Consider the following 23,026-nt stretch of genomic DNA (forward strand, 5'->3'; position numbering starts at 1 on the left):
TCCTCACCACTGCACTCTGGCCTGGGCAACAGAGTGAGATCCTGTCTCAAATAGTAGTAGTAATAATAATAATATTAATAATAATAATAAACACACAGGTTGCTTGCTTCATGTTTAACATTGCCCTCAATTGAACACATTTCTCAAGTACCGTGTGTGTCTGGTGTGGCCCTGGGCTGTCTATAGGGTGGGTAGAGACTCATCCTCATCCTCTAAAACAGGGAGAACATGGAGTCCAATGTGCCTCTCCCCCATCCAGACAGACATGACGAATCCATCGCCAGGCAGCCATGACTAGTCAATCACAGCACTCTGTCCTGATAACCTGGGATCCAGCTCAACACAGCCCCCTGGTCAACACTGATACTTGGAATTTTCCCCCTCTTCACCCTCTCTGCCAGCTGCACTTCTCCATCTGAGTCTGAGAGACCACAGACGAGGGCAGCCAGAGAAGAGCCCCCTCTTCCAGAAGCAGAAGCTACTCTCCTCTCTGGTTATAAAATGCAGAGTGGTGGGTGGGCTTAGCTGGGGGAAGGTTACTGGGGACAGTAAAGCATAGGCTCTATAGGACCAGAAGTTGCCTTCCTGCTCTGCTGTGGGAGGACCCCAAGGTGGCCCGACCCCAGTGACCTGGGCCCTGAGGGGGATGCTTGGGAGCGGGGTCTTCCTGAAAACACCCTAGGGAATCCCAAGGGCAGCAGAGAACCACATCACCCCAAACTCTGGGCTGCGGGCATGTGCACATGTGTGTTTGAGGTCAGCAGTGATTATCAGTATACTGAACAACCAGCAGGCCATGGGTGCCGCCCAAGGGGACAGGCAGGTGCCAGGTGAGCGCAGGAGTGAGACCTAGAGGTCCTGCTGCTGTGCCAGGCACTAGCCCAGGTAGCTGCTGGGTTTGGGGGAGGTCTAGCTATCTAGAGGTTCCCAAGGAAGGGTGCTGAGTGGCCTGGGAAGTGGGATGGGGAGACCCTCCAGGGGCCCAGAATAGTGGCTCTTTGCCGACAGTAAATGCATGAAGTATTTCAATGTTTCAACAAATGGGAGTGGTGGCCCTCGTGCAGACCAGCCGGACAGCAGCAGCCCCACATATGGATGCCTCATGCCAAGAGGTTCTTTCTGGAAACTGCCTGGTCATACCTGGTTAAGAGGTTCCAGCCTCACCCTTGGGCTCCCAAGGCCCTGCAGACACAGAGCAGTTGCTCGGTACATGTTTGGCCATTTAGCTGCAAAAGGAGAGTTTTTCCCAGTGTACCATAAGGCATTTCTGGAGCTCACATTGACAAAAATTAAAAATCAAAGCACAGACCAGAAGCTCAGGCCTGTCTACCCGGCCCGCCGCCTCTGTGTTCCCCAGTGGCCGCGCCGCTGGCTGCCCAGGGCGTCACCTGTGCCATGTGCATGGTGTGTTAATGTCAGGCTTCTAACAATCCTGTTCTTGACGCATGTCTCTCCTCTCCTTAGGGAGTTGTCATTGTGTTGATCGTTCAGGGAAACATTTGTACTGGGTGAGCTGAGACTCCTGTGTCAGGAGAGGACCTGGGAGGCCAGCAGCTTATCTGAAAATGTTAGCACTGGAAGCACCCTCAGGTGCCACCAGCTCAAACTCCTCCCTTGATGGATGAAGATCTTGAACCCCAGAAATGGAGTCAGGGACTCAGCTACAGTCCCAAAGCTTTCAGGGGACAGAATTGGGGCAAGAAATTCTGAGAAATGTGGGCGGGGAAGGGTCAAGGCACTGGCCGTGGGGTCACAGGCATGTGTTTGGATCCTGGTGTAGGACTTGGATCAAGTTGTTTCACCTTTCAGAGCCTCAGTTTCCCTATCTGTAAGGAGGGACAAGGAAGAGCCCCCGCTTCCAGGTCTGGCACATGTTCTGTTATGTGGGGCGCGAGTAGGGGTTTGGAAGAGAGAGGTGGTGCTTTTGGCTGCACAGTGAATGGGTGTTGTAAGCTGACCTCAGAGAATGAGTTCATTTGAACAGGAGTTCAGGGATATATCCCTCTATTTGACAGGAAAGTATATTTTCTTTGCCTTCTAATGTCGCCCTAGTTCACCATCTTATGAATTCAAAGCCAAAGGTGGCCTTTCCCCCTTTGAGGTGGGGTGAGCACTCCCTGTTGCTAGAGGCCCAAAGGCTGTGCTAGGTAAGGGGAGGCCCTTCTGCTCAGGCTGGGGACACTTTCCAGGGTCAAGGGTTCACCTGCTGCCGGCAGGCTGATCACATGTGGGGCTCCTACACCCCTCTGAGCACTCTGCACTCATCATTGCATTCTTAACTTCTCACGACAACCCTGAGAGGTGGTGCTGTTGTGCCCATTGTACAGATGGAAAATTGAGGTGAGAAGGCGTGCCCAAACACATAAGTGGCAGCACAGGGACTCTCAGCCCGGGCTGTCAGGTTCTGAGGCCAGGCTCATAAATGTCAAGCTTACCGCGAATGTGGCCAAAGACCATCATATAGGCCACTGGAGGACCATCCTGGGGCCGTCTCAGCATCCCCAGGTGACCACGCCACACGTGCTTGGCTCAGAGTCCCATCGGCCTCAAGGTGATCTCCAAAAGCAGTGAAAGAAGCTGGGGTCATCAGAACTACAGAGAGGGGTCCTGGAGGAGCCTCTGGGCAGGGCAGGGAAGGGAGTGGGCCAGATAACCACAGAACTGCGTCGTGCAGCCAAGTTGGACTCCAGAACCAGCAGAACCAAGAGAGGAAGTCGGGCCCAGAACTTTTGTTTTCCCAGATTCAAAAGAAAAATCTCCTGGGAGTCCTTTTGAATGTGAGAAGCCATGTCCCTCCAACTCCCAGGTGACGCAAAAAGCAAAGCATGTGGCCAAGTGACCCTGGCTGCTTTTCCCTCCCAGCCTGCACGTCTGTGTTTACTCCACCAGTAAAAAAAAAAAAATGAACCCAGTGAAAAAGGAGTGAAGGGTAGGGATGGGAGGCAGAAGACTCTGTGAGGAATCTCCAGGGCCGACAACTCACCGGGACCTCCAGGAGGGGGAGGAGTCCCACCCCCAGAAATGGGGGCAGCATGGGCTAAGTGTGGACATCCTAGAGGTCGCGGGCAATGGCCAGCCAAGTCCACGGAGTGAGAGACCAGTGGCAGCTGGAGCTGTCTCCATCCATTAGGTCGAGTGTCATGAAACAAGAAATCCAAGCTGGTTCCCAAGATCAGGAGTTGACTTTGTGAGCGATGGTACCTGCCACCTTCTAGGGAGCCCTGATCCCAAGGCCTTCCTTTGAATAGAAAAGATCGACCAAGAGGGAGGCAGGACGAGGAAGAGAGAGGGACCCTGTCTCACCGTGTCTTACAGCCTGGACTGCTGGAAAGCACAGATGTGGGGATGTTTGGGGAAACATCACTGTGTTTCCTTTTGGCAGGATTCAGAACAAGGGCCAGGGCCAAGGTCACAGGACTCAGAATTCAGTGCTTTGATGGACCAAGAGTTTGTATGCCAATGGTGACAACTTAATGAGGAAATGGTTGCACACAACAGAGCATGTGTGAATGTGCACGTGAGATCAGGAAGGAGGCAGCCAGGGAATACTCCTCTGTTGATCAGTTTCTCTTGCTGTGGGTCGTCTTTCAGAATTTTCAGCTGCCTTTCGTTACAAAGATCGCTGCGCCCAGCTTGCCTACAGCTGTCGTTCATCTGTGTAGGACTTTGCATGGTTGCAAATGGGTGCTTTTGGGGTGGGGCCTACATGGGGCTCTTTTTGAACGACGACAATGATCAAGCGAGCAGGGTGTGGGGGTGCAGTGCTCTGAAGGCCGCTGCAGGGTTGGTGAGCTCCCCGGGGCAGTGGGAGGCAGAGGGCTGAGGCACAGAGCAGGTAGTTCTATAAGTGGGTCAATTATTTAGTGATCAGCACATGTCTGAGAGGAAGGCCACATCTGCTTTGCTGTCCTGGAGGCCCAGATCCCCTGCCCAATAAGGAAGAAAGATGTTTTCCTCTAGGGGAGGAGTCGCCGGGTGGGAGGGGGAGGCAGCTTCCTCCTGCTGATAATGCATTTTCCCTTCTGATTGCAGCCTTTCCTCAGCTCCTGCTCTCCTTGCTGATGCAAACCTCTTCTCAATCACCTCCACACGCCCCTGCTGCCCCGAGCGGGAGGCTGTGAGAAGCCTGCACACCTGGCGAGAGGATGAGGCAGACCCAGGAGAAAGATTCCATGACTCGGCCAGCTGCGGCTCCTTCCACAACTTCTCCTGCTCCCCACATTGGGAGTCGGGAGAAACTGTCCCAAAAGCAGGAGAGGAATGGGTGGGATGAGGGTGGAAATTCGGATTCGGATTCAAGAGCAGATTCTGAATTGTTCATATGTGAAAAGAGACACTGTGGCTGGGAGGAGAGCTGGGGCTGGTGTTTCCATTTATTTCCCAGGCTTGATGGCCAGGTGACACTGGTTAGTCTAACCCCATTACTCTTCTGACACGGAGCAATGTTCCCCTGGACTCCCCATCATCGTGGAACAGAGAGCCTTGGCCAGAGGAGAGACTCGGCCAATGACGACTAATCAGAGCCGACATTTCTTGATCATCTACTACCTGAAATAATTCCTACACATTTTCTCAGTGAATCCGTCCAACAATCCCAGGAGGTAGGTGCCATGACTATCACCACTTGACAGGTGAGGAACTGAGGCCCAGAGAGGTGGGAGTGGAGGTCTGGGTTCCCACCAAGCCTGGGGATTGCTCTTGGCGCTCCTAGTTTGAGCTTTCCTTGTCTCCTATCCTGAGAGGTAGGACTCGCCTCCACCATTGACTTTGTGTTGTCTAGTGTTTTTGGCAATACTGCCACATGCCTGCATGCATGTGTGTGCATAGGCATACACATACCCACTCACACTTCCTCAGACTGCACCGCCTCCCTGGTTTGGCCTGTGTCTGGCACATAGTAGGTGCTCAGACAACCTTTGTGAGGTGCACAGGCAGCCTGGTCCATGAGATGTGAATAATCCCACTAGACTTGCTGCACCCCAAAGGCAGGACCCAGTGGATCTGTCACCATGGGCATCCCCAGGGCTGGGGGATGCTGGCCCACAGTAGGTACTCAGTGGGTAGGCCACAATTGCCCAGAAGATGCCCCCTGAGCTCGAAGCTGGCAGGGCTGGGCAGTTACCCGCTCTCACTGAAAAAGGGGTGCCAATGCTCCTTTGCATCCTGTCTCCTGAGACTGAGGAGTCCTCAGGGACTCCGGAATTTATGGCAGTGAGCAGCGATGGGTCCTGCCTCTGGGGCTTCCAGACGAGAGACCGGCTGCCTGCCTGGCTGTCTGCTGCTCCATGGAGTGTGGAGGAGGTGGGCTTCCTTCTCACAGCAGCCACCCCTCGCCAGGGAGCTGAGCAGCTTTGCCTGGAGGAGCCTGGGCTCTTCTGGGCTAAGCTTTGCTGCTTTCCTCTCCCTGTCATGCTGCTGGAACTCGGGAAAGAGACATTTCCATGGGAACTCACGGATTGGAGGGATCCCAGCCAGGCTTCTGGTGGAAGAAACTTTGCAGACAAAGGCACAGTGGCACAGTAGTATTTCCACCCAGTCCACAGGGGCTGTTCTCACCTGCCCAGGGCTCACTTGCCATGAAACCTGGAGAAGGCACCAACTCACTCCCAGCTCCCAGTCCCTGTATCTTTTTTTTTTTTTTTTTTTTTTTTTGGCTCTGTCACCCAGGCTGGAGTGCAGTGGTGCGATTCAGTCTCAGCTCACTGCAACCTCCACCTCCCAGGTTCGAGCGATTCTCATGCCTCAGCCTCCCAGGTAGCTGGGACTACAGGCACGCACCACCACCACGCCTGGCTAATTTTTGTATTTTTAGTAGAGACAGGGTTTCACCATGTTGGCCAGGCTGGTCTCAAGCTCCTGACCTCCAGCGATCCACCTGCATCAGCCTCCCAAAGTGCTGGGATTACAGGCGTGAGCCACCGCGCCCAGCTAGTCCCTGTATCTTTTGCTGGCAAGTGGAGACTGCGATGCCGGTTCCCTCCCAGGGCTGTTGGGAAGAAACAATCTTGGAATGATAAGCTTGGGACTGAGACCATATATCAGCGAGCCCAGCCATGAGGCCTGTATTCAAATAGGAGCCCTGCCTTCCCGGAATAACCTAGGACACATCCTTCAACCTTGGTATTCTCGTCTGAAGAATGGCCAGGATAAGAGTCTCTTTCACAGAACGGTGGTTAAAGCAGAAATTGGAGATTGTAGTAAACTGCTGTGCTTGGTGCCTGAGTGTGTAATACCAGAGCCACCTTGTGTTAAGCACTTTCTAGAAGCCAAATCGATTTCAAGCATTAGTTCACTAAATCCTTAGACCAAGCCTAGGTATTGGAGACCATTCTAACCTCCATTTTCCAGGTGAAACAAATGAGCCTTGGCAAGGTGAGTCACATAGCCGGGAATGGGACCCCAGGGCTGCTTGACTCTGAAGCCCCAAATTTCAACTGTGACTGTATTAAGTGCTCATTTAAGATCTGGAAGAACCAACAAGGTTCAGCCACCATCCCATTTCACAGCTGAGAAAATTGAGATCCAGAGCAGGGAAGAGCCCAGTCGAGTCGCAGAGCTGCTGGTGCTGGAACCAGGCCTAAGGTTCCACAATGGCTGCTCACATTTATTGAGCACTTACTGTGTGCCACGTTCGAATTGCTTTCTGTCCATCATTTTATTTGATCTTTACCATAACTCTAGGAAGATGGAGACTATTACAATCCCATTTTTCATTTGGGTAAAGTGAGGCAGAGAGGGAAGTAACTTACTCAAGGTTGCACAGCTAATTAGCAGGAGAGGCACGACTCATACCCAGAGAGTCAGGCTCTAGAGCCCTCATCCAAGCCGCTTTGTGGCACTGCCTCCCAGCCGGGGCAGGCTGGCCTTGCCCGGCAGCCTGGGGCCTAGGTCGACTTGCCTGCCAAGGAGGTGGAGTCTGCACGACTCCTACGGTATGGCCGCCACCGGGAAAGGCAGGGTGCCGCTGAGCTGCAGTACTCAGGGAGATGGGCACGGAGCTGGGACTGGCAAGCTCAGTGTGCTCGAAGGCCATTAGCCCCCTGCGTCTCCGAAGAGAAGTTTATCCAACAAAATGCAGGCAAGCAAAGAACACGTTCCACTTTATGTGTCTCTTGTTGTAGGCAGTACACATCTTGGGAGATGTGTGGATGAAAGGCGCCATATAAAATGCAATCAATTATGAATCACCATTACTGAATTAATCACATGTATGATTAATACAGTCATAATAATTAATGGGAGTATGGTCTAGAGATTAGAGCTGAGGACTGACAGGGAGGGGTCAGAGTGCTTCTAGTAGCCTCTGCCACTGCCTAGAGGTGTCACCTTGGGGAAGGCAGGTTCCCCCTGCGCCTACCTTGGCAGTAGAAGGGGCCCCAGGATGTCTTGAATACCCCTAGATGGTCCTGGGCACAGCATCTTACCACCTCCCTAACAGCTGCGTCTCAACTGCTCAAGGTCAAGGGGACAAAGAGTTTGTCGAAGAATCAAAATCGTGGCCTGGCATAAGTGAACAGAGTGAGCGAGGAGAGGGGTGAGAACTTGGTAGGGGGTGTCCTTTGAGCTTGCACTTGACTTAAATCAGCAATGTGAGCTCATTTCTTCTGTCTGTCTGTCTGTCTGCATCAGGACTTGCCTCCTCTTGGAAGTCCCCAGAGGGCCTGGACCTCATCTGTTACCTCTCGTTACAAAGCTAGTAGATTATTTTTGCTTGTGACTTTATAATTTCCTGTTACTCATCTATACCATGCAAATTTCCTCATTGTAAAGGAGTCAGGCAACCCAGAGAGGATATCTATAATAAAGCACATTGGTCCCCCCTCATCTCCCCTGTTCATACTTTGGTGTATGTCTTCATCGTCCACATATATAACGGATGTGTCCATATATATAGTGGACTTATATACAATCATATGTATATAATCATACATATGTATGGTTATATACAAATCCTTTTCAAAAATATAGATGGAATAAAATTAAGTGCATTGTTCTGCAGATGCTTTTTGATAGCAAATTCCACATACACAATTCAAATTAAAACTGTGCATTGGAGCCAAAATCCCACCAGTGAAGGGGATGATTAGGCTGCTGGTGAGAGGGGAGCCAGCGGTTATTTTCAGGGAGATTCATTAACACTTTCCTGCCCCTGGTGCTCAGCTTCTTTTCATTGCCAGAAAAAAGGTCATTTATCAGAAGTTACCTTAATGAAGTTTAAAAATGAATGTCCGTCAACCACCTGGTCCCCGCAAGGCTGAAATCCTATTTGTTCCCTATCTTGGAAAATAAGTGCTTTATGGTTCACTTGAAAGGAACATCGTCTCCTGGAGGCTGCTGTGGAGTGCGGTCAACTCAGGATCATAGCAGAGGGACCACCCTCCTGGACAAATCCCCTCATCGTGCAGATGGGGAAACTGAAGCCAAGAGCAGGGAAGGGATCTCCCCCAGCCACACAGCATGGTAAGGGCTGAGCCAAGAAAAGCCCATTATCCCAACTCTCAGTGCGGTGCTCTTTCCATTATCCTGGGGTCTGGAAATGAGGAAACCAGAAGACAGCTTCTGGCATAGGTCCCCGAAAAAAAGCCTGTTGGCATCAGCTTGTTGCAGAGGCAGGGAGTATTGGTGAGGTGGGGGCTGGCAGGGAGGCATGTTAAAAATTGTTTCTAGTGGCACATATCTTTACATATGGGTCACTGAAACCATCCTGGCAGTGCTAGGGAGGAGGCACCCCTGGTTCCTCCACTGTGTTTAGATGAACTACAAGTAAGAAGCAGCTCCTCCATCTCTTTGGCCATTCCTGACAGCATCCAGTCCACAGTGATGATGGAGGAGCAGGGTGGTTCCCAGGGATTGATGACCATGCCCTGGGGTGACAGCAGGCTGAGGGCTGACCCTGGTCATCACTCACCCTGTGCAGGAGCCCCACACCCTGCCCTTCACTGCTGCCTGCAGGCTGAATGCTTAAAAATCAAACCACCAAGATCTGTTCTCTTCTCCCAAGGAGCTTCCTCCTGCATAGAACAGGTAACCAGGGGTGGGCCCATGTCTGCCTTCCTGGGCTGCTTGGTGAGATAGGCCCATCTCCAGTGGTAGGCATCTGAGAGCATGTGCAGGTAGAGGCACACAATGGCCCTGTTTTTTGACCCCTCTTTGAAAAAAGAAGGATTTACCGTTCATATCTCACATATGGGGAAACTGAGCCCCAAAGCAGTCTGGGCCGTGTTCCAAGTTCACCAGCCAGCCAGGCCAGTGAGAGAGCATCACCCAGAAACCCAAAAGCCCTGCCTCCCCGGCCACAATCCTTAGCTATGTGACCTTGGGCAAGTTACTTAACATCTCTAACTTGAGGCTTTGCTACTAGCAGTGAAGTCACAGGGCTTTGGCGAAGATTCAGTGAATAATGCACACAAACTGGTTTGCATGGAGTCTGGCATAAAACAGGTGTTCAATAAATATATTATTATTATTATTACAGCAGATGACAGTCTTTAATTCTGCATCCTCTTCCTGTTTTGTCACAAGATTCCAAATATTATTCAGCAGTATAACTCCGTCTCCAGTTTTCAGGGCAGCTGAGAACAGGGAAGGGTTAAGGTGGAGGTGAAGGGTGGCAGCAGGGCGGGGCACTGAGGTGCCATGTCTTGCTCCATTCCCAACACCCTCTGTGACCTTGGGCTGGTCTCTCTCTCTCTGCCTCTCTCTCTGTCTGTCCTCAGGCCCTTTGTTCTTGATGCATCCAAATGACAGTGCTGGCTGCTCAAGGCTGCAGTGAGCCCACCCCAGGAGGCCAGGAGTGTCCGAAAACCACATGTGCTTCTGGAAGATGTGGAAACTCTCCCAGAAGCCCTGGGAGGCAGGCTGGCAGGAAACCTCCTGGGGATCAGAGAGCCCAGGGCTGCCGGATATGATATTGTGAACTCGGTGGCCTCTGCCCGGGGCTGCTGCTACCGGAGCCCTCCCACACCTGCCTCCCATGCTTGCAGGGGAGGGAGACAGAGAACCCCTCAGCCAGGCCCCTCCTGCCCCACTACTCTGCACTCCCTGCAGAGCTGGCTTGGCTTCGTCAAAAGCAGGGCCCATCAGGGTGGAGGCGGCGATGTGTCAGCTGGTATTCAGGCTCTGGTTGTGCGCTCAGATCGCTCCCCCTCCCCATCTCCCCAAATCCACCCACCCACCCCGGTACCCACTGCTTGGGGCCTTCTGGGTGGCAGCACTTCACAGAGAGAGACCGAGGAGCAGCCCTGAGCCCTTGGCTGTGGGGGGTGGGGGAACTGACTCACTTGGCCCCCCTCCCTCGTGCCGATGGGGCAGCCCCCACACCCATGGGCGCTGGCACCCCGGCAGGCCCCCGGGTTTTGGAAGAGGAAGCTGCAGCCCGGCTGCGCCTGACCGGAGCCGGCTGAGGATGCGCTCTGGGCGCAGGGACCCGCTGGCCCCCGGGCCGGGAGGCGATGTTTAGGCAGCGACCCCCCAGAGGCTGCCGGGGCCACCCTGGCCACGGGCCCGCCGGGACGCCCCTGCTCGCCGCGCCCCTCCCCGGGCCGTGGCGCGTCCCCCGAGCCGCGCAATATTTCCTTCCTGCACCTTTAAGAAGACCGTTGCTCCGTGGTGGGATGGTGTGTTAAAGCCACACAGAGGAAGTTACGCAGCCCGGATCAGACCGAGAGATAAAAGCCCCGATGGTGATCGTGAGTGATGGCAAGAGGATTTAGCCTCGGCATTAACTTGGAGCGGAGTGCAGGGGGGCAGTGAAGCGCCCGCCATCTGGCCCGCGCCGCGCCGGGGGGATGCCCCGGCTCCCCGACGAGACGCCGCGAAGCCCACCCGGGCCGGGGGCTGCCCGGCGCCCGAGCGCGGGTCCTCCCCGGGCCGCCCAGGGGGGCCAAAAAGTTTGCACTTGTTAGCGGCGACCTCCCGCTCAGCCCGGGCGGGCGATGCGGGCGGCGCGGGCGGCCCCCTCCCCCGGCCCGCGTCTCCGGGACGGCTGCGGGCGGCCCCCCCGGCGGCCGGAGGGCTCCCTGGCCCCGATCTGACGGCGGCGGCGGCGGCGGCCACAGCGGCGGGAGCGGCGCGGGGAAGGAGCAGCGGCTCGCAGCCCTCGGCCCGCGCCCCCACCCAGCGCCAGCCCGAGGGGGGAGGCGCAGCGCCGGAGGGTGGCGGTCCTCGGCCCTCCCAGGTCTCCGCGCCGGGAAGCCGCTCCGAGCCGGGGTAAGGCGGGCGGGGAGAGCCCGGGAGGCGGGCGGGGGGAGAGGCTGCAGCTTGGCCAGGCCGGTTTCATTTTTAAAGGGCTTCGGTGACCATGCAGGCTTGCCCGGGCCCGGGAGCCACTTACAGCGGCCCGGCAAAGGCTCGGATGCAAAAGTTGTTTGGTGGCGGCTGCTACGAGCTGAGAACTGGAGTCGCCCCAGAGGGGTGTGTGAGGGTGCGTTCTTAGCAGCATCTTAAAGGGGTAGCTTGTCTTTCTGGCCAGCTTCCCCCGGGTCCTTTCCGTCGTGTGTGTGAGAGTGTGTGTGTGTGTGTGTGTGAGAGAGAGACAGAGTGTGTGTGTGTGTGTGTGTGTGTGTGTGTGTGTGTGTGTGTGTGTGTCGGGGAGGGATGTTGCAAGGATGCTCGGATGTGTCTCGGAAAAGGAAACTAACCCTGCTCCCGCGCCTCTCCCCCACCCCAATTCCACCGCCACCGCTTAGAGCCACCCCCATCCCGTGCCCTCCCATCTCTCTGCAAACTGGGAGCCTGTGAGTTGCACAGAGAAACTCCCGGCCAGTCCGGCTGGAAACTTCTCCCGGCGCCGGGAGGGGGTCGGGAGGTGAGGGGGCGCAGGCACTGGTTTGGGGCCGGCGTGGAGTCGAACCTGGAACTGAGCGGCGCGCAGGTGGGGGGAGCAGAGGCGGCGGGAAGGCGGGAAGAGAGGACCGCGGGCTCGCGGGGTCCGCCCGCTCCGGAGTAAGTTGGCCGTCTGGGCTGGGGGCGGCGGCGGCCGGGTCGCCACAGGCGGCAGCGCCGGGGCAAAGGATACAGCCAGTTCCTGGGCGCCCTGCTCTGTGTCTTTTAATTAAGAGAGGCAGTGCCGAAAAAGGGGGCGCCTCAGTCCCGGCCGGGCCTTTATTACGGGCTTAATTATTAATTGCTGCCGTGGCTTGCACGCAACTTTGGGAAGACGAAAAGCAGCTGCGGGGCTGCCGGGTCGTCGGTGTCCTAGGCACAGGGCTCGCAGCCGGCCCGAAGCACTGACTCGACCCTGGCCCCGGCCTCGACCCCGCCCGCGGCCCGCCGGGACCCACCCGGGAGCTGCTGCTCGCGCCCCGCCTCCCGCGCCCAACTTTCCAGGGCTCCCGCGGGCGGGGACCCAGGGGCCGGATAAAGGGCCCGCTCCGGAGCGGGGGGACACCCGGGCCGCCGGAATTAAGAGGCCCGCCGAGGCTACAGTGAGCGCGGGGCGCCCGCTGGACCCCGCCCGGGGCAGAGGACGGGAAGGTGACCCCGCCGGCCAAGCTCCCTTTCCCTCCCGGCAACCGCCACTCTCCCCTGAAAGCAGATTTCACCCCCCTCTGCCGCCCCTGCCGAGGAGGGAGAGGGAACCCCGGGGTGGGCTGAGTATCCCCCCTAGCCCCGGGAGCCCCCAGCGCCCTCCCTCCCGTGCCCCCAGGGGCCCCGCGCCCGCCGCGGCAAGTTTCCCACACGGCGAGGGCGCAGCAGGCAACTCCAAGAGGAACCTGCTGGCGAGCCCAGCCAGCTCGGGAGGCGCTAATTCAATAAGACAGAGAAATCTGAGTTCAGAAATCCTGATAAAATCTAATTTTCGAGTTTTAATACCCTGGCTATCAGCCCCCCTTGGTTCCTGAGGACTCTTAAAAGAAAATAAAGCACATTGATTCTATTTGTTTCTGGGAGCTGCAGTTTCTTAATAATATCAGGTGAAGATAAATTTTCCACGGAGAAAACGATCCTCCGGGATGCAGCTTCTTACTCTGAAAATTTCCCTGCCGACTCCTCACTCTCTGCGCTCCTCCTCGTTATCCGGGGACTCCTGCCTCTCTTCCCCCTTCTCTTTTTTCTTTTTGGCAGAACCCGCCTGCAATATTCGTGTGCTGAGCTCGTAATTCCCCCTGCGATGCCAGCAACGCCCAATTGATTGACTAGTTGTAAACACATTTTTCCCCTGGCAGATTTTGTTGTTGTTAGGGTTTTTTAAATTTATTTATTTTCCAGGGAATGCGTGGCATTTAAACCAACAGGACTGCAATTAATAGATTTGCGAGTTGCGCCGCGCGCGCCGCTCGCCCCAGCCTCCCGGCCTCCGGGCCTCGCTGCCTCCCCGCGCCCGGCGGCGTCCAGCGCCCTGCAAGCCCCGAGCAGCCGCGGGTCCTGCAGCTGAAGGAAGGTTGCAGCTGCGCCCTCCTTGCAAGCCGCAGCCCGGCGTCCTGGTTGTCCCAGCAGCCAGGAGATCCCTACCTGTTAGTGAACAGTTAGGAGTCGACTGCTGGAAGAATTAATTAGGAACGTGCTGTGCTCTGGGCAGCGCGAGCTCGGGTAGAGGCATCCAAACCTTTGCCGGCGGCGCTATTTTATTTTTACTACATTTTCTCAGGTTGCAAAAATAGACACCGGGCACGTTCTGTCTTAGAGTTTTCTAGCAAGGAGCGCCTTCAAGGCCAGGCAGGCTCTGTAACAGGTTCCCCTTTAAACAGCCAGAGGTGAGACGGGGAAAATGGTCCTGGCTGGGTTCTCGTTCATCTCCATCAGCAGTCCTTCACCCAGAGAGAGGGGCAGGGGTCGCCCTAACTCAGATGAATGAGTCCCATGCCTGGAGCCCTGGGGCCCTGGCTGGGGGCTGCTCCGAGCCTGAGGTGCTCAGGGCGCTCAGGGCAGCAAGTGTCCGCCACTTCGGTTTGTCATTTTTGGCAGGAGCGTTTTTCTGTCTGGGTGGAGAATGGAGTTTCACGGAAACACAGTTAACTCTTCAGGGGCCTTGCAAGTACAGGAGGTGAAGAGGATGTCAGGGGAGAGCCAGGTCCAGACTGGACATTTGGGGTGGTTTGGGAAATCAAATGCAATCATCGAAGACATATTAACCAGAATAATTAATCATGCAGGCACTTTTTTACTGCAGTAACCTTTGCCCTATTGGCCAATATTTTTGGCCAGAATCCCATGCTGGCTGGACTTGGATTCTCCGGGTGACGTATCCAGTGTCTGGAACACACCACAGTACTGCAGTCGTGTTATTTCCCAATGTAACATTCATGTAACTGGTATCTATTTTGATATAATATATTAATTATATCTATTTTGATTTTAAATAATTAACAGAAGCTTAAAATAGCACAGCAATAATCGTAATTGTAACCCATTTATAGACCTACCCTCTAAGAATGATTTGCAAAATGCTGGCCTTGATCAGAAAAATCTGAACTCACAAAGCATTGTTACCTCTTTGGCAGTCTTCAATATCCCTAGTTTCTTACAGTTAAAAAAAATTAAATTTGCCATTTCAGATTGTGCCTATGATTGGGGGGCTGTTTCTCAGTGCCTGGCTCTTCATGGTTGGCCAGCACGTGGAGCACTCTGTTCATCTGTACATATAGGTATGGGTCCATCTGCACCTATAGTTACATGCTCATCTTTGCCTTTAACAACTTTGACATTCTGACTTGACAGTCATGGTATTTTAAAGCAACCATTAAATCTTGGCTCCTGGGGATGCTTTTGAAAGTCTCTGACCCCCAAGCCGGGGCACTTCTGCTGAACTAACACTCCCATAAATGAGAAAAAAATGCATCACCTTTTAAATAACATGCCCGATCTCCAAATGTGCAACTCTGATATTAATAAAAATAACCCAGTTTTCTCGGGAGACTTTGCTAATGCAGCCTCATTTTTTGCACATTTTGCCGGAGAGCTTTTGTTCTTATACGTCTCTATTCTCCCCCTCTTTAATTTGTTGCAGGTGTTGTTGCTAATGAGCTCTCTCTCTCTCCTCCCCTCTTACAATGAAAGACAAGTCAGACCCCAGGTACCTGGATGGATTGAGAGCTGAGATCTCAGAAACTTCATAATAAGTTGCCGATGGCTACCAGCCAAGGTCAGCTGGGCCCCATTAGTGCCGGCCCCCACCAAAGCAGAACCAAATAGCCTTCTCCCCAGTGAACACCTCAGTAGCTTTTCATTCTAGTCCAGTCACACAGCTGTTGCCACCTTAAGCTCATATGAAAGAAATCTCTTTTATTGGTCTGAGAACCCAAGTCCAGTCCCAAAGAGGGAACATGTTTCCAGCTAACATGCCCACCTCCTGATTTTATTTTATCTTTACAACGCAGGCTGGAGGGTTGTTTTGCCGTTGTGTTGAGCACGTCACCCATTAAGAGCCCTTTAAAGACCTGGATTGATTGGAAGGACAAAAATTAAAAGCAATCTGATCCAGCCTCATGCAGGATCCCTGCGGATTTTCTCCTTATCCCATTTCCATCCACTGTCACAATTTGAGAATCTGCCTGATTTGATCAGATTCACCTCCAGGGGAGGTGTGATACCAGGGTTAGGAGGACGTGAAGTTATGGGCAACTTTCTGATCTGTCCATCAGCAGTCTGAGAAACGCTGGCTCTGAATTTTCCGTGTCGGCCTTTTGGAAACAACAAGTTCCTCGCTGTTTGCAAAGCTTCAGTGCTCGGGTCCCTGGGACACCCCGGCCACCCTCGCCTGGTAGATGTGGCATTTCCATGCTGAGGCCGCGAGTCCCGCCTGACCCCGTCGCTGCCTCTCCAGGGCTTCTCTGGGCCGCGCCTCTGCAGACTGCGCAGCCATGCTGCATCTGCTGGCGCTCTTCCTGCACTGCCTCCCTCTGGCCTCTGGGGACTATGACATCTGCAAATCCTGGGTGACCACAGATGAGGGCCCCACCTGGGAGTTCTACGCCTGCCAGCCCAAGGTGATGCGCCTGAAGGACTACGTCAAGGTGAAGGTGGAGCCCTCAGGCATCACATGTGGAGACCCCCCTGAGAGGTTCTGCTCCCATGTAAGTCCACTTACTGCTCTTTTGTTTGCCCAGGCCAAGTGGGAGGAGGTCTGGAGGAGATCCTTGGGGTGGACGAGCAGAGCTGGAGGACTGAGATGCAAGGCTGACTTTCCTGCCTCTTGACCAGGTCTGGACCAGACCTGGACCAGGTCTTTGTCCCACCTTGGAAATGTGTCAAAACAGAGGACACCCTGAGGACACTGGGGTCATGTGACATTGTTCTCTGGGGTAGGGGCATTCTCGGCCAGCTGGCCACTAGTTCAGTTCCCTCGGGAAGCCTATAGTATTCAGCTCCGCAGCCTTCAGGCTAAGCCCCACCTCCTGTGTAGGAAGTCAGCATTCTGGGCGAGTGAGCAAGATGCTACCTGCAACATGATACTGTAAGCTCCCTCTGTTCATCCTTTCTGTGGTGCAACCTCTTAGCCCACTCAATCCAATCCAGCAGACGGTACCATGAAGCTAGAGCATGCCAAGCACTGAGCTGGCCCTTTGCATGGGGAGGTTTGACGGAGGCTCAGAGGGGATTCACGCAGGATGAAGTTGGGGGTTAAGCTGGGACAGACAGTGCAGCTTGGGTCCCCTTCCACTTCCATTCCTACATGCAATGATGGCAGCCCCTGGGTAAGTCGGGGGAAGGCAGACATTCAGGCGTTGTCCCTTGCCTCCCTAGCTAGAGAAGGAGGGGTCCTAGGGGCACGGAGTACTTCAGTACTCAAGTAATGTTAACAGCAACAACAACAGCAGAGATGGTTGCGTGCGAGCTGTCTGAGTGTGTGGGCCGAGCCTGATGCCATTGCGAGGAGTCCTCCCCTCAGCTAGCCAGGTGGATTCTGTGTTGTATAAAGCAGGAGCGTCAGGGGAGGGCTCTGGCCCAGTGACGTCTGTGGGCTTCTGTTCTGTCATCTGCAAAATGGGCACACTAAGAGCACACACTCCTAGGGTCATTGTGAGGAGTTTGTGGTTTAATTAACGTAGGTAAAGTGTTCGGAATAGGACCTGGCACAGAGTAAGTGCACGCAGATGTTAGCCGTTGTCATTCTGGTCATACAGGTGGGGTAACTGAGGCAGCCCAGGGGTGACGGGTAAAGGCATCTGGCCAAGGTCACACTCCAGGAGGTGGCGAAGCTGTGATTCCAGCTTAGAGTGGCTCCAATGTCTCTGAGCTAAGCTGCTTCCCACTGGGCAGTGCTCCGGAGGCCGTCCCTGGCAGGGCAGGGCAGAGCTGGGTAGGGCAGCCAGGCTGCAGAAGCTCACAGGAGGGGCTTGATGCCATCCCCCAGGCAGCTGGTACCTCTGCGTGTCCTTGGAGGAGCCTCCAGGTCTCTGGGTTTGTGGTGGGGCTGACCCGGTGCCCCCACCTCAGAGTCCTGAGGACTTGATCTCATGGGCCGGCTCTGCTCACATCACAGGGCAGTCAGCCTGAGAAGGTAGCTTCTTACTCAGGCTTGTCAGTGGTGATGAGGCTGTCACTGTGGGTGGTGGCTGGGCCAGGGCCAGCTGGGGAGAGAGAGAGGGAGGGAGAGAGGGAAGGAGAAGGCGGCACGAAGCCAGGAGCTGGGGCTGGATAGTCTGTGGCCATAACTGCCCCGGGGACCGCAGGGCCAAGCAAGGGGGCTGGGCTCTGGAAGCCAGGAGGAAGGCCAGGATAGGGGCTGGTACTCAGTCCACATCTCAAAGCCGGTGGGAGGGTTCTCCACACGCTCTCGGGCACGGTCAACCTCTGTCTCTCGTATTAGAGTCTCGACTGTATTTTCTCTCTTAAATATTAATCACTGCCTTAACGTGCTTGGGGGAGCAGCTAAATCATAATTCTAGGACCAGCTTTGGGTCGAGGGCTTGAGGTGGGGAGATGACCCTCAGAGTCAAGTCCGAGGCCCTCTCCTTGCCAAAGCTGTCTAGGGTGTCATTGGCCCTGGACCTCTGCCCTGCCCCCACCCTCAGACAGAGAACCCAGTGCAGTGGGCGGCTGTTCTGGGGAGGTGGTCACCCCTCCCAGTCCCAGTGCCGGCAGAGCCTCATCCCAGGCAGCCAGCCTCAAGCCCTGGGGTCTAGAAGAGTGCTCTCTCCCATCCCCATCCCCTGCTCCTCTCCTGGGCAGACAGGTGGGGAAGGCAGGGGAGAAAGAACAGTCCCTCCACAATCTCCCACATGGGCAAGTCCTCGGCGTCTCGCCACCTGTGTGATGGACTTAAATATTTCATCATGGGCTGCCATCCAGCTCTGCTTTGATTACAAATGTGTGTCCGATGAGGACGGGGAGGCCGCCGTGGCAGGTGGACGGCAGCCTTTTGCAGGGCTGGCTTTTGGAGGGCTGGCTTTGGAGGGCTGGCTTTTGGAGGGGTGGTTTTTGGAGGGGGTGGTTACTTCTAGATAGATCTGGGTTCAAACCCTGATGCCACAGTTTATTGTGGCTTCCCCTGGGAGGGTCCGGGCAGTAGGATGCTCTGAGGTAGGTCCTACTCTAATCTCATTTTTGGGAATAGAAAGTGTTGCCTAAATCCTGCCAACATCACTCCGTTGAGAAGGCAGGCTGGGAACTGCCTGTAGCCAAGGCCCATGCCCACCCACCAGGCGGCACAGCCTCCCCTCTCTCCACTTCTGACCTCTCTGAGTTTCACTGTCTTCCTCTGCCCAGTAGAAACCATAATGTAGGAGTGTCACGGTGCTGGCGGGACGGCACAGCCCGGCCGTGCTGCCGTGGTACGTGCGGACACATAGTAGGTACTCAGTGTGCAATACTAGTCACCAGCTTATCACTGTTGTGATTATGGCCTCGGTGATTTTCCTGGCTTTGCTTCTTCCCCGGGCTCCTTTGCCTCTCCCCAGCCTTGGGGACGCCACGCCTTGTATTGCTAGTCTCTGGCAGCATGTGGAAGATGCAGGCTGGGGGAGCTTCCTCGCCTGCAGCCCCAGCAGCTGTTGTTAACCAGCCACCAGGGGGCGCCCTAATGGCGGCCAGATGCCCACTGCCCCCTTAGCCTTGCCATCGCCCATGGGTCCTTGCTCCCCTTCGCCCCTTCAGTGGCAGGTGCTACGTGTGTCCCAACATCCAGCCCACGGGAGCGCAAGCCCGGCTGCACTCCGAGGGTACAGGAGGGACCCAGGGGCGGACGGCCTTTTCAGATGCGGGGTGCAGACCCTCTCTCTTTCCCAGGCTTCCTGTCCTTCAGCAAGGCCACCTGAGAACTGAATTGTAAATTCCAGCCTTGCAAGGAAGGGGAGGAGGCTGAAAGACAAGATAAATGAATAAATAAAAACCTATTGGCTCTAAATGCACAATGAGAATTAATAGGGATGAGCTCTCAACAGAGGATTCTTGGGCGAGGACAAAATTGCAATGAGGGCTGTGGGAGAAGAGAGGCGGCCCCCACCCACATTCCCAGGGCCTGCCCCTGAGGTCAGCCCAGCAAGGCTGCAGGCCGAGAAGGAGGCAGGAAGGGCGACGGGCAAAGGCATCTCAGCCCCTCACAGGGCAACTGCTGCTTGCAGGACCCTTGGAGATGGGGAGGGCGTGACTGGCATTGGGAGGTGCCCCTTAGCGCTCTGCAAGACACGTCTCCCGCCAGCCACCTGTGGTCCCCGTGAGAGGAAGGGGGAAACCCTTCCTTTGTGCCTTGGAGACAAAAACTAGCCACCCGAGACTCAGGGGTGAGCTGACGAGCAGGTGAGAGAGAGAGAGAGAACTACTGCCCAGGCAGCAGGGTGCCAAGGGAATCCTGCCACTCCCACTCAGAGCAATCGCCTCAGTGCAGCAGCGCTGACCTCACCTTGATAGAGGTGCAGAATCCCAGACCCTGCCCCACAACTGCCGAGCCAGACTCTGCCTTTTAACAGGAAGTCTCTGGAGCGCTGGGGTGGGGTTGGTCCAGGATGGTGGATGAAGCCTGCCGTTGACGAAGGGGCCAGAGGTCTGTGGGTCCCATGGGGTCTGTGCAGGTTAAGAGGAGAGGCATTGCTGAGGGGAGACAGGAGCCAACAGGAGAGCACTAGGGGGTCCTGGGAATGGAGGGATGGAGCTGGGAGCCGAGATTCCCAGATGCGGGCCTTGCTTGCCAAGGCGGGGGGTCTGTGCTTCTGAGCAGGAGCCAGTGGAAGGTTCCAGAGAGAGGCAGCACTACCTCCTGACAAGAGCTACAGGCCTAGAATCTGAAGCCCTGAGCTCACATCCCAGTGTTGTCACTTGGGGGCTGGGTGGTCTGAGGTGAGTCATTCAAATTCTCCAAGCCTCAGTTTCCCTATCTGTAAAAGGGGTATGATCTTCACTGCCTTGCCCACCTCACCGACTTCCTGGGAGAGGAAACGCCTCTCACAACATAACAGAAGGTGCTTGGCAGAGACTGTAAGTTCTTTTCTAGTGTGAGGCTTGAATATTATTGTTTATCCAATCTTGATAAGCTTGACATTTCTACATTGACATGGGTGAACATTCAAATTTCAGCCATGTTGGAGTCTCCAGCATACAGAGGCACCTTGGCTTTGGTGGACAGGAAAGCCAAGGGCAGGCTGTGAACGTGCATCTTTGAACACACATCTTACTCAGTTAGAACCTGCTTTAGCTTCTCTGTGCCTCAGTTTACCCAGCTGCAGAGCAAATGGTTCCATTCCTCCCCCAGGGGGTCTGCTGGGCTGTTGAATGCAGACAGCAGGCAGGTCCTGGAGTCCTTGAGCCACTCCTCACTGTGACATTGAACACCACATGCAGAATCAAGGTCACAGACACTCTGCCTCCTGCCAGACCTTGAGGATCATGAAATGTTTCCATCCAACAATGCAGAGCTGACCGGCCCGATGGCTCTGGCCTCCTTCCCCCTCTGTGTTTCTGGCCCCAGCCTCCCTCCTCTCGCCGTCACAACCCTCCAGTCGGCAGATGTTTCCAGGTATGACCTCATGCCAGGCACAGTTGTGATGGGAAAGTGAGATGACTAGAGATAAATTAAGTGAAAAACAAGAGAAAAACACTACAGACATTGAAGACAATACCCAGCTAACCACAAATGGTGACACCGGGGCCTGATATGATAGGAGCTGGGGAAGGAGGAGGGCGTGCCCCTCCCCATGAACTCTCCGGGCGCTCCAGCCTTGGCCCGTGCTGTCTCCTCCACCCGAATGCCTGCCCCCTCCTTCCTTTCTTTTCAAGGCTTCCGCTTCTACCTGGATAACCCTGGCTCCTTTTTCAAGGTTCAGGTTGGACCCTACCTCCTCCTCCAGGAGGCCTTCTCTGACTCCTTTGCCCAGTGGGGTGAGGAGGCCCTCATTTGGTCATCATCCTGCTTACTGACTGGCCTATCAGTGAAGAGTTCTGGCCCTAGGAATGGAGAGTTTAGAATCCCGTGCTGTGTGATCTCTGATGTGAGACCTAACCTCTCTGAACCTTAGTTTCTCAATGGGAGCTATTAATAGAACGTGCATAGGAGACTGTCATGAGCACGGTGCTTGGCACATAGTAGTTGCTCACTGCGTGCTGGCTGTTGGGACCAATTCTGTAACTTTAGATGTCTGCTTTTCCCCTGGACTGTGAGCTCCTCAAAGGCAGGGCTGTCTCGCTATCTTTGCATCCCCAGCACCTCCCTCTGGACTTGATCAGTGCCCAGTAAGCATTTCCTGAATGAATGGATGCATGGGAGGAAGCATGGTGTGATCCAGGAACGCTTCTCAGAGGAGGCAGGATCAGGGCTGTATTTTTTTTTTTTTTTTTTTTTTTTGGAGTCAAAGTCTCGCTCTGTCGCCCAGGCTGGAGTGCAGCGGCGCAATCTCGGCTCGCTGCAAGCTCTGCCTCCTGGGTTCACGCCATTCTCCTGCCTCAGCCTCCCCAGTAGCTGGGACTACAGGCACCTGCCACCACGCCAGGCTAATTTTTTGTATTTTTAGTAGAGACGGGGTTTCACTGTGTTAGCCAGGATGGTCTCGATCTCCTGACCTCGTGATCCACCCACCTCAGCCTCCCAAAGTGCTGGGATTACAGGAGTGAGCCACTGCACTTGGCCAGGGCTGAGTCTTGAAGGAAAAACTGGGGTTTGGGTCAGGACAGAGGAGACCCTGGAAGCCCCTGCTTCTCTCCACTGCAGTCCCTGTTCTGTGGGATTTGCGATTGGATGAAGCCGGGAGGTTTGCACAACTCTGTCCTTAAGTCAGTTGCAAGTGACTTCGGCACCTGAGCTGCACCAGCCGTTAAAGCCACTCAGTCTCTTGAAATGCCCGAGGCAGGGCCCAGCCTAGGACAAGAATAGTTCTGTGAAATGACATCTTGTTGCACAGTGAAGTCTCCCTCCTGGGCAGTAGACAATGAGAAGACCGAGGCCCGGGGCCCAGGGAGTGAGACCCTTGCTTCTGACTTCCCTTGAGGGAATGAGGTTGGGTCCAGACACCCCGTGGAAGGCAGGCAGCTGTGTGAAAGGGCCCAGATGGGACATCTTTCCAAAGAATGTCAGAGACTTAGAGACCCCCAGACCTTTCCGGTCTGCGCATCCCCACCTTCCCAGGCTGTCTTCCTCTATGCTTCCTAACTCTGATGTTTAATCCATTTCCCTTTTTCTCATTTACTGTGGGTATAATGACAAGCTGCCTCCAATCCCACCTGCGATGGGGCAGGCAGTGGATGGATGGACAGACGAACGGACAGACAGGCAGGCCGCACCATGCTGCGGATGAGACGGATGGATGGACAGACGGACAGACAGGCAGGAGCACCATGCTGCGGATGAGATGGATGGACGGACGAACGGAGAGGCAGGCAGGTCGAACCATACTGCGGATGAGACGGACGGACGGACAGACAGGCAGGCCACACCATGCTGCGGATGAGATGGATGGATGGACAGACGGACAGACAGGCAGGCCGCACCATGCTGCGGATGAGATGGACGGACGGACGGACAGATGGACAGACAGGCAGGAGCACCATGCTGCGGATGAGATGGATGGACAGACGAACAGACAGGCAGGCAGGTCGAACCATGCTACGGATGAGACGGACGGATGGACGGACAGGCAGGCAGGCCACACCATGCTGCGGA

At 55.0% G+C, this 23,026-nt stretch overlaps 1 protein-coding gene and 1 long non-coding RNA gene across 23 annotated transcripts in view, besides 3 other annotated features; one reads left to right on the forward strand and one right to left on the reverse strand.

Annotated features, from left to right (window-relative positions):
• Positions 3,442-3,942: an enhancer, noted in NCBI's record as "H3K4me1 hESC enhancer chr9:135029860-135030360 (GRCh37/hg19 assembly coordinates)". NCBI's record gives its function as "activates a minimal SCP1, AML or CMV promoter by ChIP-STARR-seq in primed H9 embryonic stem cells {active_cell/tissue: H9 hESC(primed)}" and the evidence as "EXISTENCE:reporter gene assay evidence [ECO:0000049][PMID:30033119]".
• On the reverse strand, positions 9,427-10,669 carry LOC124902291 (uncharacterized). The gene is made up of 2 exons (XR_007061826.1): positions 10,585-10,669; positions 9,427-9,572 (listed from the first exon to the last, which is right to left on the reverse strand). It is a non-coding gene; the product is annotated as an uncharacterized LOC124902291 (long non-coding RNA).
• Positions 10,658-23,026, forward strand: part of NTNG2 (netrin G2) — an 82,838-nt gene continuing 70,469 nt past the window's right edge. For 8 of the 22 annotated variants that reach the window (XM_011519094.3, XM_011519106.3, XM_006717304.4 and 5 more), the window contains exons 1-4: positions 11,027-11,208; positions 14,496-14,585; positions 14,948-15,082; positions 15,318-16,013. In XM_011519094.3, coding sequence (XP_011517396.1) covers positions 15,801-16,013 — 213 coding nt within the window. In that variant the 5' untranslated portion in view covers positions 11,027-11,208; positions 14,496-14,585; positions 14,948-15,082; positions 15,318-15,800. Of the gene's footprint in view, positions 10,689-11,026; positions 11,209-11,266; positions 11,423-11,582; positions 11,807-11,852; positions 11,944-14,110; positions 14,253-14,495; positions 14,586-14,947; positions 15,083-15,317; positions 16,014-23,026 lie in introns of those variants that run through there. The other 14 variants (XM_011519100.3, NM_032536.4, XM_017015212.2 and 11 more) reach the window with 13 other exon arrangements.
• Positions 18,501-19,258: an enhancer, noted in NCBI's record as "H3K4me1 hESC enhancer chr9:135044919-135045676 (GRCh37/hg19 assembly coordinates)". NCBI's record gives its function as "activates a minimal SCP1, AML or CMV promoter by ChIP-STARR-seq in naive H9 embryonic stem cells {active_cell/tissue: H9 hESC(naive)}" and the evidence as "EXISTENCE:reporter gene assay evidence [ECO:0000049][PMID:30033119]".
• Positions 19,259-20,016: an enhancer, noted in NCBI's record as "H3K4me1 hESC enhancer chr9:135045677-135046434 (GRCh37/hg19 assembly coordinates)". NCBI's record gives its function as "activates a minimal SCP1, AML or CMV promoter by ChIP-STARR-seq in naive H9 embryonic stem cells {active_cell/tissue: H9 hESC(naive)}" and the evidence as "EXISTENCE:reporter gene assay evidence [ECO:0000049][PMID:30033119]".

Source organism: Homo sapiens, chromosome 9 (assembly GCF_000001405.40).
Source record: "Homo sapiens chromosome 9, GRCh38.p14 Primary Assembly".
NCBI lineage: Eukaryota > Metazoa > Chordata > Mammalia > Primates > Hominidae > Homo > Homo sapiens.